Source organism: Homo sapiens, chromosome 16 (genome assembly GCF_000001405.40).
Source record: "Homo sapiens chromosome 16, GRCh38.p14 Primary Assembly".
Taxonomy (NCBI): Eukaryota; Metazoa; Chordata; class Mammalia; order Primates; family Hominidae; genus Homo; species Homo sapiens.
This window is the reverse complement of record NC_000016.10, coordinates 84,764,847-84,780,222: the sequence shown is the minus strand read 5'-3', so window position 1 is coordinate 84,780,222 and position 15,376 is coordinate 84,764,847. Positions and strand designations below refer to the sequence as shown.

Below are 15,376 nucleotides of genomic sequence, written 5' to 3'. Positions count from 1 at the left end.
CTTGACCTACAGCAACTATTTTGGTGATACTGAAAACGGTGGGCTATAGAAACAAGGGATGAGGAGGGGAAGGGGAGAAAACCTCCTCCTTTCTGCCAATCGAAGAGTCAAAAACTTCGTGTACCCAAATCACTAATCCATTTGAAAATACTAAACAAGCATAACCTGAGTGGTGGTTCAGCTTCCACAAACACGTCGAGCTGATCGAAGGGCAGATTTTAATTCTGCAGGCAAACTCATGCCCCCATGAATTTCAGTTACCCGAAAAGGCATTCGCATTCAAAGAAACACGCACACACCTTTAAACCAACTTTGTGATTTTTATTGATGGGCGACAACTTTATACTCCTAGATATCACTAAACTGTGTACAATTAGGGACGCAGCATTAGAGAAGAGCAGACAGCAGAATTAAACAGAGCAGACTGAAGGAGAGATCTTCATTATTTGCCCATTTTTCATTATGTGTACACAGAAGCATGAATGCAATTTGAAATCTTTTAATGGCAATAAAGTTACAATCACCCATCTATGTAGACTAACATTTTAACTCCAAATATTTGATCTGCAATGTGTACGTAAGCAGTTTCTCTCAGTACAATTATTAAAATTTTTCCTGTTAGGAACCAGCAACTTATTTTTTATGTTTATTTTTCTTTTGAAGTAAGAACTAGTTCTTCTTTGATAACTGGCTCATTTTTATCATTTATCAAAAACTAAAGGGTAGGGAAGAAAAGTGTGATGGATTAAAAAATTTCTTTTTTAAGGAAAGATAAAATTCATTTTCACAAATTTACAAGTGTTGTTGCTGGTGCAGGATTTATTCTACTAAGCAATGAGACTGGGGATCAAATCCACTTTCTTATCTCAGGAATCAGCATTATTTCAGAAATATGGGTTTTTGTGTATTTTCTAAAATCAAGCAACAGTCTGTTTCAACCAAATGATTTTGATTTGGAAGTTAGAGTCAACAGAAGCTGTGTTGTGCACGAACCCCAAGGCATCTCCTTTTCATTCTAGCCCATTTTTGCAAAGGGAGAAAGAGTTTCTCTCTAAAGAGCCACTAAAGAGAGGCGGGAAGTGAGTGTGAGGTGGTGTCCTACGAAGCGGGCACTGGGCGCACACACAGCGCACACAGGGTTTACAGCAGGTCCACTCGGCGGTAATACAGGAGGTAGGCTGTGCGTTCAGCAGTTGGTTTCACCACCTGGTACTGGTTGATCACCTTGACTGTCTGGTCATCGATGCGCAGCCAGCCATTCAGACCGATCTGGAAGACGTCTGTAGTGTAATGGCCGCCCGTCGCACTGTTGCCGTGATGGTAGACCACTGGAAGAGAGCCCAGCAGGCAGCAGAGTGAGAACAGCACTGCACACGAATCATTACAGGTCTCCGCCGACTTCCCTCCAGGGATGCATCCTATGTGTAAAACCCCTCTCCAAAGCAGGTGGGACAGAGAGATGTCATCACACAAACCAATGCTATTTCAACTCAAACACGCAAGCAATCCATAATAAAAACTTTTCTATAACTGCAAGGTAAGGGTAAGTCAGATAGGTACATGTGTGCATGTACGCATATTAACCACATATTTAAAATGTCCCACGCCTCACACAGACACTCCTACACAGCCATCAGCTGTACAGGCCTACAGACCTGGCTCATGCCCTTGGATGTGGCTGACTCTACTTCTAGACTGTCCTGAAGAGATTATCTGAATCTTGGACAGAGATTATGATGTCATTTATAACAGTGAAAAAACGGAAAACCTCAATAGCCACTAGAAGAAATGACTGATGAGTAAATTATATTAAAATAACACAATTTATTTTTTCGTGGAATAGATTAAGAATGGTGATGCGGGAATACGCTTATGGTATATTAAATGAGAAAACAAGGTCCTTAGGCCTTCTGTGGCCCATCTATCCTAAAGACACGGGACACAATCTCCCGGTGCCGGCCCACATGGCAGGAGGGACCCTGGGACTGCTAACCACGGTTGCTTGAGCGTGGAGCTGTGGTGGGGCACTGCGGAGATGGTGCTGGTAGTTACGCATTTGCCTTTAAAAAAAATTACCCATTTTTCTATGTTTTAACAGAACAAAACACACACACACACACACACACACACAGTTATTTACTTAAAAAAAAAATCCTATAACCAAGAAGCCTTAGTCAAAGGCCTAAAACAAAAAATCTGTAGAAGATGTCATGAAAACATTAAGACAGCCACAGAACACATCCTCCACTTCTATGGAGCAGAGGGGCACAGGTCTGCCTGGCCAGCAGCAGACACCAGCCTCGGGAAGGCGGCTGTCCGGCAGCATTCCGCGGGGAATGACAGGGCAGCCTGCTAAGCTGCGCCCACCATCAGTGGCACAAAAGAAAAGGAACCAGGAGAGATGCAAGACTTGGCTGGTAGGGAATTTCAGCACTAAAACAAGACCAAACATCACCAGGTTCTAGTCGCAGTTGTCACGTGGAGGGGCTAAATGACAGCAGGAGGCCTCAGTCCTCTCTGGGCCAGGGACCTTGGCTGGCTAGAGGACAGTGCTTATGACTGAGGCCACCAGTCAGACTCCTGGGCTCTGCACAAAGAAATCCTCTGTGCAGGGACCCCGGAGGAGACTGAACAGCATAGGGACAGCAAGACTGTGGGGCCCGTACTTCGGAGAGCCAGGGACACAGCCAATCCAAGGGCATAGCTTCATCCTGTGCTGCACAAGTCACAGCCATCTTGTGAAAGGGCAGGAAGCACCCATGACAGCAGCATGTCCCCTGGATCCCAAGTTCACTTTGAGACTTCTGTCCTAGATCTTCACCTCACAGACCTAACTGACTGGGCTAAGAGTTTTGCTTCAAAGCGACCATCAGTAGAATCTGCAGGGCCTGGGGGTTTTACTAACTTGTCTTTCCCACAAGACATCTCCATTCTAAAATGTCAAGGGGGACTGCATGTCACCATTCTAGTTTCATAAGCAGCAGCCCAGTTAACTACCCTGGGCTGAGCCGTGTGTCACTCACACCTGCAAGCCCCCCTGACAGGAGCGCTGAGAACCGCCTGAAAAGCTTGTGCGCGAGATTGCTTCTCCCAGGCCCCACAATCACAGCAGTTCTTAAAAAGTGTTCCTTTGCTCACTCTACAGGTAATTCTAACCAGTCCGGTGACCTCATTTCCAAGATCAGAATAGGCTTCCAGCCTGGCCAAAAGGGCGAAACCTCGTCTCTATTCAAAATACAAAAATTAGCTGGATGTGGTGGTGCACAGCTGTAATCCCAGCTACTCGGGGGGCTGAGGCACAAGAATCACTTGAACCTGGGAGGCAGAGGTTGCAGTGAATGGAGACTGTGCCACTGCACTCCAGCCTGGGCGACAGAGCAAAACTCTATCTCAAAAAAATAATGGGTTAGGGGATGAGGATTCAGGAGGGCAGGGGAGAGCAACCCAGGCCCAGGTCCCGGGGCGAGGCAGGTTGCAGAGTCGGGGAGGGGTGTGTGTGCTCACACTGGGGCCCTGACCAGGAGAGGAGCAATCCCTAGCCCCTGCCCCTGCCCAGTGATGTCCCCCGCAAGAGCCTCCAGGGGAAGAGGTGCAGGGAGAAGGCGGAGAAACTGCTGGCCACCCACTGGGACCTGGGTGCCACACTCCAAGGAGCCAGGCAGGATAATGGCTGGCTGCAGAGTCTGAGGACTCAGACCTTCCATTCCAGACAGGGCTGGAGACACCCACAAGCGCGTGGTGCCCATGGCCGTCCCATCTGAGGCCCAGCAAGTTGAGGAGGAATTGTGATCGGGGGGAGAAAAGAAGAGAGTCAAAAGGAACAATGAATAGTGAGAGGAAGAGAGGGAAGCCTGGCACCTTGCAGTGTGGCTCTGGGCCTCACCCACTGGGCCCTCACCCCTGGGCCCCCACCGCTAGGCCCTCACCCCTGGGCCCCCATCCCTGGGCCCTCACCCACTCGCCAAACTTCCTAAAACATCGGGCGTGAGCTGAGGTGGACAGGAGCTTGAAGCCCTGCTCTGCCACTGCAGGCCAGAGTGGTGAGTTTTCTTCCTTGAGTTCTGGTTTATTCTTTTATAAAACAGGGATCCCACCTCCCATCTCCTAGGACACATGTAAGGAAATGAAAGAATATCTTGGGAAGAGGTTCAATACATGTGTGAAGGTCAATAAATGGCAGTGTTATGTTACGATACAAACAGGTTCACCAAAGGCCACACCAGAGGAGGGAAGACACAGAAGCTAGAAACATGTAGTAAAAACAGCCTGGGAAGCAAACAAAAGTGCGGCAAACAGCAACAATCCAAAGAGGTAAAGACTCAGAGGCATAAAAGATGACGCTATAAAAGAGAAAGAAGGATAAAAGGGAAGGCAGAAAGGAAAGGGAAGATGATGTGGCAGAAAAAATGATACTGCAGGGAGCCTAAGCCAGGAGACAGAAGAGGTCTCAAGGTCCACCCATGAGGGAACAGGGGGTGCCATTCACCCTGTTGGGAGATTTCTCATGACTGACTGAGGGCCTGGCAGCCGAGGAGCTTGTGTAATCGGGCCCACCCTCTCAAGCAGCCCTAACAATACCTGTGGGGGAGGACGCAGGGATCACCGGCTGGGGGCGCGCTCACCCAACCTGGCTGGGTGACCAGGTGTCGTGGAAACTCCACAGCACTGTCACCCACAGGTGCCACAAGCACAGCCGGGAGAGGTCACATTCTCAAACAGCCAGCCTGGGAGCCTGAAACTCCCTCCTCTGACTCAAAGACAGAAATGTTCGCTTTGAGCAAGGTCTTCTGTTATCTGTCCTCAGGGCCAAGATGATAATCCGTCATCTACGCAGAGTTTCAGGTAAAACTCTCACGTGACTCCCCGACTCACAAGGCCACAGGGATACCTGAGTACAGCATCTGGTCGCTATGCTAAGTTGCAGCAAACCTGTGCCCAGCTGTAAACCCCTTCATCAGTGTTTTAATGAAGAAGTAATGTCGTACAAATTTACTCACCTGCAAAGAGCCGATAGGTTCGGTGGCATTTAAAATTCTTATTTTTAACCCCTGGAGAAAGCAGTTCTGGAAAACAAAATATCAATGGCTTGAAGCACTTTTAGAAAGGTTCAGGGTAACAGCAGCAGAAAATGGCTAACAACATTCTCCCCAGCAAGTAAACTGCCTGTCAGACCAGGAACAAAACAACACTCTATCCCTTCAGTTGCACAAAAATTGACTCATGAAGGAAATGAGCCATGTGACGTAATAGGACACAAAATGTGCAGCCAGCTCACTAAAGAAACAGGAGCAACGGCCGAGGCTGTGATGCTCCTGTGGGAGGCCCCTTAAAAACAGGTGCTCTACAAAATGGAAAAGAAAAAAGCTGCTGACTTAAAAACAAAAACAGTTGTGAAAAATCCAAGGCAAGAATTAAAATTTTACATATGCGTCAGATCATAAAACTTCAATTACAGGCCAGGCACGGTGGCTCACGCCTGTAATCCCAGCACTTTGGGAGGCTGAGACGGGCGATCACGAGGTCAGGAGATCGAGACCATCCTGGCTAATACAGTGAAACCACGTCTCTATTAAAAATACAAAAAATTACCCGGGCGTGGTGGCACGCGGCTGTAGTCTCAGCTACTCGGGAGGCTGAGGCAGGAGAATCACTTGAACCCGGGAGGCAGAGGTTGCAGCGAGCCGAGATCGCGCCACTGCACTCCAGCCTGGGTGACAGAGCAAGAAAAAAACAAACAAACAAAAAAAAAACAAAACAAAACTTCAGTTACAGAACAGTAACATGATTTCTCCAAATAGGAACCAGTCTACCAGCTGCTACGAGGCGGGAACTCCCTGCTCTTACTGTGCGCAGAAGTACCACTTACACCGACACAAGAGTCCGTCGGAGGCATGCTGTTCGAGGCAGCCATCTGTACTTCTGACCCATGACCCAAGTGAGGTCCTCTTGTCCCCCATTTATGTTATTTATTTATTTTTTTGAGATGGAGTCTTGCTCTGTTGCCCAGGCTGGAGTGCAGTGGCATGATCTCAGCAACCTCTGCTTCCCAGGTTCAAGCGATTCTCCTGCCTCAGCCTCCCAAGTAGCTAGGATTACAGGCACCCACCACCATGCTAGGCTAATTTTTGTGTTTTTAGAAGAGTTGGGGTTTCACCACGTTGGTCAGGCTGGTCTCGAACTCCTGACCTCAGGTGATCTGCCTGCCTCGGCCTCCCAAAGTGCTGGGATTACAGGTGTGAGCCACTGCGCCCAGCCCCCATTTATGTCATATTTTGATAATGTATTGGAGGTGGCAGCGGATATAAAAATACAGCAAGCAAGAAAAGATATAAAAATAAAATCACTGTAGCAAAACATCCAAGTCAGCTCAGACAGCTGATCTGGAGGCGAGTGAAGATGCAGGAGCAGAGGCCGAGGATGCCTTCTTTGACTTAGCCGGCATTCCAGGTTTCCCGATGGATAGAATAAAATGGGGAGGAGGATCTGTTACATGATTCTCACTGGCATCTTTCTTCCTCTTGCTGGTCCTCAAATGGGATTAAAAAGCAATCGGCTGATGAGTGATAAGGCAGCTAGAAGTGTGAGAGGAGCAACGGACACTAAACCCGGCACAGCAGCCAAGCCCGTCAGCAGAAAGCACAGCTCTTGTGTGCAGGCCTGGGAGAGACAGTGTCTGAGTCTTCACGGGAAGGTATAGGGCGCCCCTAGGGTAGACAGGGAGCCGGCTAGAAGCCAGCCATGCCCACAGTTCCTGGGTCATCTATATGGAAGGAGGTATGAGGTGGGGTTGCTGTGCCAGGGGACGGAGAGAAGAGGACTCTCGGTTCAGGTTTGTTCCTCTGCAGGACCCAGGAGTGAGGCCCAGTGTCCTCTTTTCTGCTTCCCAAACACCTCGATATTCTGAGAATCCTCTCTAGCTAATCACAGTCCCAATCAAGCCTCAGTGTTGTACTATACGTTTTCACAAATTCTAAAGCTTTCAAGAAAAGTCTTCTTGAAGCTGTGCTTTTAGCAAGATGCCTTTAACCTGGGGCTCTTTAAAATTGCTTTCAAAAAGTGCCGAGCCCGTGACCTGACAGAGACTTGAGGCTGGTAAGTGCCACGTCTTATTTGTGCGCCACCACAACTAGAGGTTAGAAGGGACTCTCACTGCCTATGAGAAATCATTCTTACTTCACTAAAAACCACTTAACTGGGCTAGTCAACACAGCTGTTAATACTCGGTGGAAGGCAAACTGCACCATTCATCCCTGAAATATTCACAGAAAAGTGATGTTCTTTTTGATAGACAAAAGCTGCTATTTTTCTAATCTAGTAAGATTATAGAGTTTAGTTATTTTTGCCTCTATTTTCAACAGGCCATTTTCATGAGAATTTTAGTATTAAGGTCTATTACAAGTCAAGAAACTTAAAACAAGTCCACGTCCAGCAAGAGAATGTCCTCACTCTTGACATCATAAAGAAATGCTACAGGGTTGAGCTTCTGATGTGCAGGAGTGTGTCACCACGAACACTCCCGACCTTATGTATGCATTACCTTTACTAATTTCCAAGTCCACAGGATATTCAATATTTTTGATAAGCTTCTGGCACCCACCAGTCTTCTCATAAACGAATCGTTTCAGGTGCAGCACGAGGACAGGAGGGAGTTTTTCCAGAGTCACTCTTCGACTTATCTCAACCTAAGACACAAAGCACACCAGGACACACCGTCCCTGTCTTACTTGCAACAGCTAACACCACATCCACCTTCCGCTCAAAGACGTCCTCTGAGAGGTGAGGCCCAAGAGTCCTGTGGCAGGACTTCATGGCTTTTCCTGCCCCACAGAAGCTCTGAGATCTACCAATGCTCCTCTTAAGAAAATGCACATACCCAGATGCAGTGGCTCATGCCCATTAATCCCAGCACTTTGGGAGGCTGAGACAGGCGGATCACCTGAGGTCAAGAGTTTGAGACCAGCCTGGCCAACATGGTGAAATCCCGTCTCTACTAAAAATACAAAATTAGCCAGGCGTGGTGGTGGGCGCCTGTAACCCCAGCTACCTGGGTGGCAGAGGCAAGAGAATCCCTTGAACCCAGGAGGTAGACGTTGCAGTGAGCTAAGTTCGCGCCACTGTACCCCAGCCTGGGCAACACAGCGAGATCTTGTCTCAGAAAAAAAGAAAAAAGAAGAAGAAAAATGCATACGTTCCCATAAGCACAACTGCAGAGAGCCTCTTGGGTCCCTGAAGTCCAGTCGTAAACTCAAAGTTAAGAACTTTACTCTGTGGCATTACTGACAAATTAGCATAAAAATTAAAAAGCTAACTTAGTACCACCTTATTTATGTACTGACTCCCCCGCCTTTTTTGGGGGGAGGGAGTTCTCACTCTGTCGCCCAGGCTGGAGTACAGTGGTACGATCTGCGCTCACTGCAACATCCGTCTCCCGGGTTCAAACGATTCTCCTGCCTCAGCCTCCTGAGTAGCTGGGATTACAGGCTCCCACCACCACATCTGGCTAATTTTGTATTTTTAGTAAAGAAGGGGTTTCACCATGTTGGCCAGGCTGGTCTTGAACTCCTGACCTCAGGTGATCCACCTGCCTCAGCCTCCCAAAGTGCTGAGATTACAGGCGTGAGCCACCACGCTAGGCCTAGTATTGACCCATTTTAAAATAACTCTGATAGTATTGATAAAACTGATACCAGTAGGATTAGGTGGGTTTTTTTGTTTGTTTGTTTTTTTAAGACAGGATCTCACTCTGGTTGCCCATGCTGGAGTGCAGTGGCATGATGAGGACTCACTGCAGCCTTGACTTCCTGGGCTCAGGTGATTCTCCCACCTCAGCCTCCCAAGTAGCTGGGACTACAGCCATGAGCCCAGCTGGTCTTGAACTCCTAGACTTAAGCAACCTGCTCGCCTCAGTCTCCCACCGTGCTGGGATTCCAGGCCAATTAGATGTTTTAAATAACCTTTAAAGCTATTTATTCTAATCATGAGTTTTATCAATGTAATCTGTTCCTGAAGTACTTTCACAGGTCTGATGAATGCTGCTTTTAAATAAAGCCAGGTTTTTTGTCACTAAGATGCATCTTTACAAATAACAATCCCTTTATCATTCTCTGTACTTACAAAGTCTTTGATGCTTCCCATATTCATTTGGATAACACTTTTTTTTTTTTTTTTGAGACAGTCTCGCTCTGTCATCGAGGCTGGAGTGCAGTGGTGCGATCTCAGCTCACTGCAACCTCCACCTCCAGGGTTCAAGTGATTCAGCCTCCTGAGAGGCTGGGACTACATGTGCACACCACCATGCCCAGTTAATTTTTGTATTTTTAGTAGAGATGGGGTTTCAACATGTTGGCCAGGATGGTCTCGATCTCTTGACTTTGTGATCCGCCTGCCTCAGCCTCCGAAAATGCTGGGATTACAGGCATCAGCCACTGGAGATTTTTTTTTTTTTTTTTTGGGGACGGAGTCTCGCTCTGTCGCCCAGGCCGGACTGCAGTGGCGCTATCTCGGCTCACTGCAAGCTCCGCCTCCCAGGTTCACGCCATTCTCCTGCCTCAGCCTCCTGAGTAGCTGGGATTACAGGCGCCTGCCACCATGCCCGGCTAACTTTTTGTATTTTTAGTAGAGACGGGGTTTCACCGTGTTAGCCAGGATGGTCTCGATCTCCTGACCTCGTGATCCACCCGCCTTGGCCTCCCAAAGTGCTGGGATTACAGGTGTGAGCCACCTCGCCCAGCCAACTGAGGCTTAATTTCTAATCACTCAACAAAGGCAGACATTTTCTATATAGCAAATATTTCATATAATCCTATTTTCCCCAAAACCTTCACATGTTCCCACAGAAAAATACTTCTGATCTAAAACATAATAAAGTTAAAGGTGGCATTTTAAAAACTTAAAAAAAAACACATTCAAGAAAATATGTAATTTGCTCCTTATAGATACTTCCATACAAGCTGTCCCAAATCTTCCTGAAACATCTGCTGTTGAAAGTGGTCCTGGCCTCATCTGGTAACACACCACCACAACCACGCACCCAGAACGGCTGGCAGCATCCTTTTTATCTTCCGGAGTCCACCAAAATGCCAGCTTTCCTTTATTTTTATTTCTTCTTATGTTTTAGAGACACGGTTTCACTATCGCACAGGCTGGAGTGCAGTGGCGTGATCATAGCTCACTGCAGCCTCCAACTGTTGGGCTCAGGCAATCCTCCTGCCTCAGCCTCCCAAAGTGCTGGGACTAAGGGCGTGAGCCACCACACCTGGCCCGCCTTCTTTCTGGAAGCCTTCATCCAAACCTGCTATTTAGGATAAACCATTCTTTCTTCACTACCGTCTAACAACAGGCTAACAACTACCTGCGCCTCAACCCCTGCCCCCACACCGCCACCCCTACCAGCCCACCCCAGCAAAGTCAAACTGTAATTGCAGCAGAAGCAAAAGAGAAAAACAGACACATCACAAAAGGGTCTTCCCTAGGCAGCCCATGGAAAGGCTGACCACCTCCCCAACAGCATGGGTGGCCAAAGACTCCCATAGCTGGCTCAAGAAACAGCATAAGCAGAGTGCACCAGCAGCCAGGGCCAGGGAGCTATCTCTGGAGTTGCAGCTGCCACAGAAGTGAGCCAAGCCGACAGTCACCCACAATGCACAACTGAACCACCCAACCAACCTCCCCAACACAAATACCACTTTTTCCCTCTCTCTCTTCCACGAGGTCCACCGCCAGACTCTTCTTAGCTCATTCACTGAAGTCAACTACCAAGTTTCTGCCTCTGGCTCCTACTGCTTCTATTTTTTAAACAAAATCACCCATGAGATGCAAGTCTGCAAATACGGTAGAAGATTAGGCATAACTTCTACTGATCCCCCCAGAGCCTGGGTGAACCAGTCCACAGCAGGACACCCCGAAGGTGCTAAGGGTCCCTATGTCCTACTTTGCTCTTTCTGACTCAGAGCACACAAGATAAGCCAAGGATAGATCCATCCCAGTCATGCAATGTGATGACAGGTCTTCTACGTTGGGGCACCTTATTTTACCTTGTAGCTGCCATCCACTGCCCATTATTCAAATATCGCTTTGCAGGAATGCTATGGACCGTCCATAATTATCAGCCTGCATTCATCTCCCCAGTGCATTTTTATGAATTCACTGCCACAACCTAAGATATATAACAGAGAAGACACTCTCTGCTGCAGAGTACAAAATAGCTATAAGCTGGCACATCTGGACAGCCAGGAACTAATAAGCTCTCACAGGGCAGAATGCTATCCGTCTCGCCCAACTGAGTTGACAAGGACTCCACCAAGCTATAATGTGATACTCTTAAATTCATGAAGACTGAAAGACTCAAGAATCTTACCTTTTCCAGATCAAATCAAAGAGTAACAAGCATCAGAACAATGACTATATTATATTTACAATGACTATATTATATTTACAATGACCTGGAAGATCTACAATCAAATGCAAAACAGATGTGTCTGGAATCTCTCTGACATCCTAACTAATCTAATGACAGTTGTACCCTACGGTATCATGAACATAAATAAGCTATTTGGCCTCTGTCAGAGGTAGTATTGATGTTGTGATATCATCATTAGATTGCCAGAAAATTAAATGTAGCTCAAGATAAACAATCCAAAAGGAGATCATTACCTTGTGTAATATGATTTAGAGCTAAAAGAGGCCCTTGGGATCACGTTTCAACCATTTCATTGTAAAACCATAAAAACTTTCAGTACAAAATGGTTAAGCAACTGATTTAAGAGGCATAACTCAAACCCATTTCCCCTCATTCCTAATTTTGTGTTCTTTCCACCAAACCAGAGCACCTTAGTAGAAAGGTTCAAAATCAAGTGTGAACATACCTCTTGTTTGGTTTTTGTGGTATAACCTTGGACAGATTCTCTTGCCACCAAGCTCTCCAGTGCATCCTGGACTGTGCGTATCTTGTCTGACTGGATATCCAACTGCAACGTGAAAAATGGCTGCAAAGTGGCAGATTCTTTTGAACTCTGCTGGTAAACCACAGACCTAAGAATTGAAAGCAAAAACAAAAAAATTAAGAGACCACTCCTTGCCACTTTCCCTTAAGATTAACCAAGGGAATAAACACTGAAAATAAGATTATTCAATATCACTTTCAAAAGACCACAGAGAAAAGCCAAAAATATACTGAATTTAAAAATAATTCTGCTGAAGATGTGCTTTGTTAAACAGATGCTTGAAGGCAGCATGCTCGTTAAGAGTCATCACCAATCCCTGATCTCAAGTAATCAGGGACACAAACACTGCGGAAGGCCGCAGGGTCCTCTGCCTAGGAAAACCAGAGACCTTTGTTCACTTGTTTGTCTGCTGACCTTCCCTCCACTATTGTCCCATGACCCTGCCAAATCCCCCTCTGTGAGAAACACCCAAGAATTATCAATAAAAAAATAAATTAAAAAAAATAATAATAATTCTGCTGAATAGCACCTCCTTAGTATTTCTAACAACTAAATCTACCAGTTGATAAATGTTCCCAACGCCAGTGCTCTGGAAGAAAACATATTTCATTTTCCAAATTCTTTCACTTCCTCTCCACACTGTTATTTACTGCACCGGTTCATAAAGGCAGCCACCCTGCCATGGCCTCAAAACGCTGCTGCTTTCCATTTTCTCCAAGTATCATAGCCTGTTCTAATAAAATAGAGGAAATCCCAAGGTAAATAGAGGATTTTTAATGGCATTTTCCTCCTATAAAGATGTCTTACAAAAAGAAGAAGGGGAGTAGGGTGTGTAGAATAAAAAACAAGTTAACATTCCAGGAAAAAAGGCTGCCACCCTTCCAAGAAGGGCGCCAATTTGACCTTGTTTTCTTAGCTGGTTTTTCATTTCATTTTTTTTTTCCTTTTTCTAAGTTTTTCTGAGTAAAAATTGTGTGTTCGGCCCATCTCTCATTTAGCCTCAGCAAGGAAACATTCCAGGGGTTCAACAAGGGCTTCTATTTCTGCAGTCTCGGTGACCTAGTTTCTCAACGGAATAAAATGGGTGTGGACAGGTACTCAGGCTTTCCAGAACAGATGCGGTGAAGAGCTCGCTAAAAGCTTTTCTGTCCAGGGTTTAATTACGCATCTCCATGCTCCTTTACAGTTTGAAGACTTCAGTGACAACAGTTCCCCTGGTTCTGGAGAGGGATACAGTAGTGGGGAAACCGCTCATGAGAGCTGGTGGAGAATCAAGAAGCCCTCTTGATTCAGTGGTCCTGTGTTTTAGCAAAGGTGGCACCGGGGAAGAAAGGCGGGGAAGTCTTCCTGGGGAAACTGAAAAACATCTGAAGAGGCTGAGTTTTAGAAGTAAATCTTTCAATTGGTGTGAATAAAGAATCATGCTTAACAATGGCTGAAAAGAAGTTCCTACGTTGTAAGAATTCCCTATCTTTGCTTTACCGTTTTTCAAAAAGAAACATCAACAACCAATTTCAACACAGAGACCCCTCAGAGGATGTGGCTAGCAGCTGTGACAGAGCTGTTCAATCTGAGCCAGCAAGTCCTCCAAATGGACGCTGGTATTTTCCACTGGTTACTCTTAGACAAATTTGGGATCTTTGAGTATGCTGACCCTCTGTGGCCTTGAAATTCTGATACCCGGCCTCTGCACAAAAACCATGTTCCCGATGCCTCCATTTGAGCTGTCCATTCATCTTTCTCTCCCATCCCGAGGGGGTGTCCTCACAATCCTAAACCAGGCTGCTGGGCTGAAGGAGCAAAGGGCACAGCCTTCCCTCGCTGCTGCGCGCCAACCTGGACCTCAGCGTCTCCCTCCCAACACGACGTGTCCCAAGGAACCACAGACAGTGGTCAGGGCTGGGTGTTTCCCAGGTGACAACTGACCACCCAGCTGCCGTGGACACTCCACAGAGCACCAGAATAGAAAGGGGCCAGTGGAATAGAGCTCACAGTGCAGAACACAGAAGTGACTTGTTCAAGGTCACATGGCTGCTCAACTGGCTTCTAAATCCACTTCCACAGAGGACGGGAAACCAGCTTCTGAGGGCGTCAGCGCAGGTTTCTGAGGTTCTTATTATTCACCTGTTGAAAGTTGTTGATTCAGTCTCAGAACTGAGACTGAATCAAGTCTTGATGCCTCAAAAGGGGTGCTCTTTCTTTCAGGTACGCAGCATTTGGGACAACAACAGACTAAGAGTGTCACTGAAATACCAGCCTGGGGGTTATGCCGCAAGGCCTCAGAAAGGAAATTAGGCTCCAATGAGGCCTCTTCAGTACTTTCGATGGGTAAACCTTCTTGGAGATGGTACAAGTTTTGCTGAATTCCACATCACAGTGGTACTGAAAAGCTCTCAGGTAAATAAAGAAAAACCTTTCCGAAGGACTTTGTGAATGAGCAAAAAGCTGCTTAAGGGAACTGGCACACAGCCAGGTGCCCAGGGACTCCAGCCCAGTCACGGGTCTGTCTGTGTAAAAAAGACCTCCCTTCACACTCTCTTCACTTTCTACCTCACCTGCTTCCAATCAGTTCACAACAGCCAAGACAGGGAAACAACTGTCTGTGGATGGGCCAATGGATAAAGAAACTGTGGTGTGTATATATAGACAAGGGAACACTATTCAGCTGTAATAAAGACCCTGCCATTTGCCACAACAGGAATGAACCTGGGGAACATTATACTAAGTTAAAGAAGTCAGACACAGAAAGAAAAATATTGCATGGTCTCACTTATACATGGAATCTTTATTAAAAAAAAAAAAAAGACGAAACTACAGAGATAGGGAAAAGAGTGGTTCCTAGGGGTGGCGAGTGGGAATGGAAGATGTCGGTCGAAGGACACCAAGGGCAGCCACACAGGCGAACAGGTCTAGAGATCTGATGTGGAACATCGGACAAGAGCTACTCATAGTGCACTGTATTTGGGACTTTTGTGAAATGAGTAAAACTGCAGCTGCTCTTGCCATGTGCACACACACACACACAAGGGTAACTGTGATGGGGAATATGTTTATCTGCTTCACTGTAGCAACTATTTTACTATCTCTATTTCATAACATCTGTGTATACTTTAAATATACACAATTTATTAACATAAATAAAATTCCTCCAGATACACTGTCTTCTCTTACCAAAACACATGGTTTGGTTAGCTGGTTTTTTTTTTTGAAGACAGTCTTGCTCTGTCACCCAGGCTGGAGTGCAGTGGTGTAATCTTGGCTCACTGCAACCTCTGCCTCCCGGAGGTGGTTTTATGTTGCAAGTTTTAAATGCAGATGAAGTCTAATATATATATATATATTTTTTTTTCTCTCTCTCTCGTGGTTATTGTTTATGACCTATCTTATGAAACCTTTGCCTACCCCTAAGTCATGATGACATTCTCCTGTATCTT

General features: G+C 46.3%; 1 protein-coding gene across 10 annotated transcripts in view; it reads right to left on the bottom strand.

The window, feature by feature from the left end:
* Positions 1-300: 300 nt before the first annotated feature.
* Positions 301-15,376, bottom strand: part of USP10 (ubiquitin specific peptidase 10) — a 79,923-nt gene continuing 64,847 nt past the window's right edge. For 9 of the 10 annotated variants that reach the window (NR_073578.2, NR_073577.2, NM_001272075.2 and 6 more), the window contains 4 exons: positions 11,865-12,030; positions 7,538-7,682; positions 4,998-5,063; positions 301-1,328 (listed from right to left, as the gene is read on the bottom strand). Coding sequence is in view for 8 of the 10 variants with exons in the window: in NM_001272075.2 (NP_001259004.1) it covers positions 1,141-1,328; positions 4,998-5,063; positions 7,538-7,682; positions 11,865-12,030 (565 nt within the window). In the remaining 2 variants the exon portion in view is untranslated. The remainder of the gene's footprint in view (positions 1,329-4,997; positions 5,064-7,537; positions 7,683-11,864; positions 12,031-15,376) is intronic. The other variant, XM_047434876.1, reaches the window with a different exon arrangement.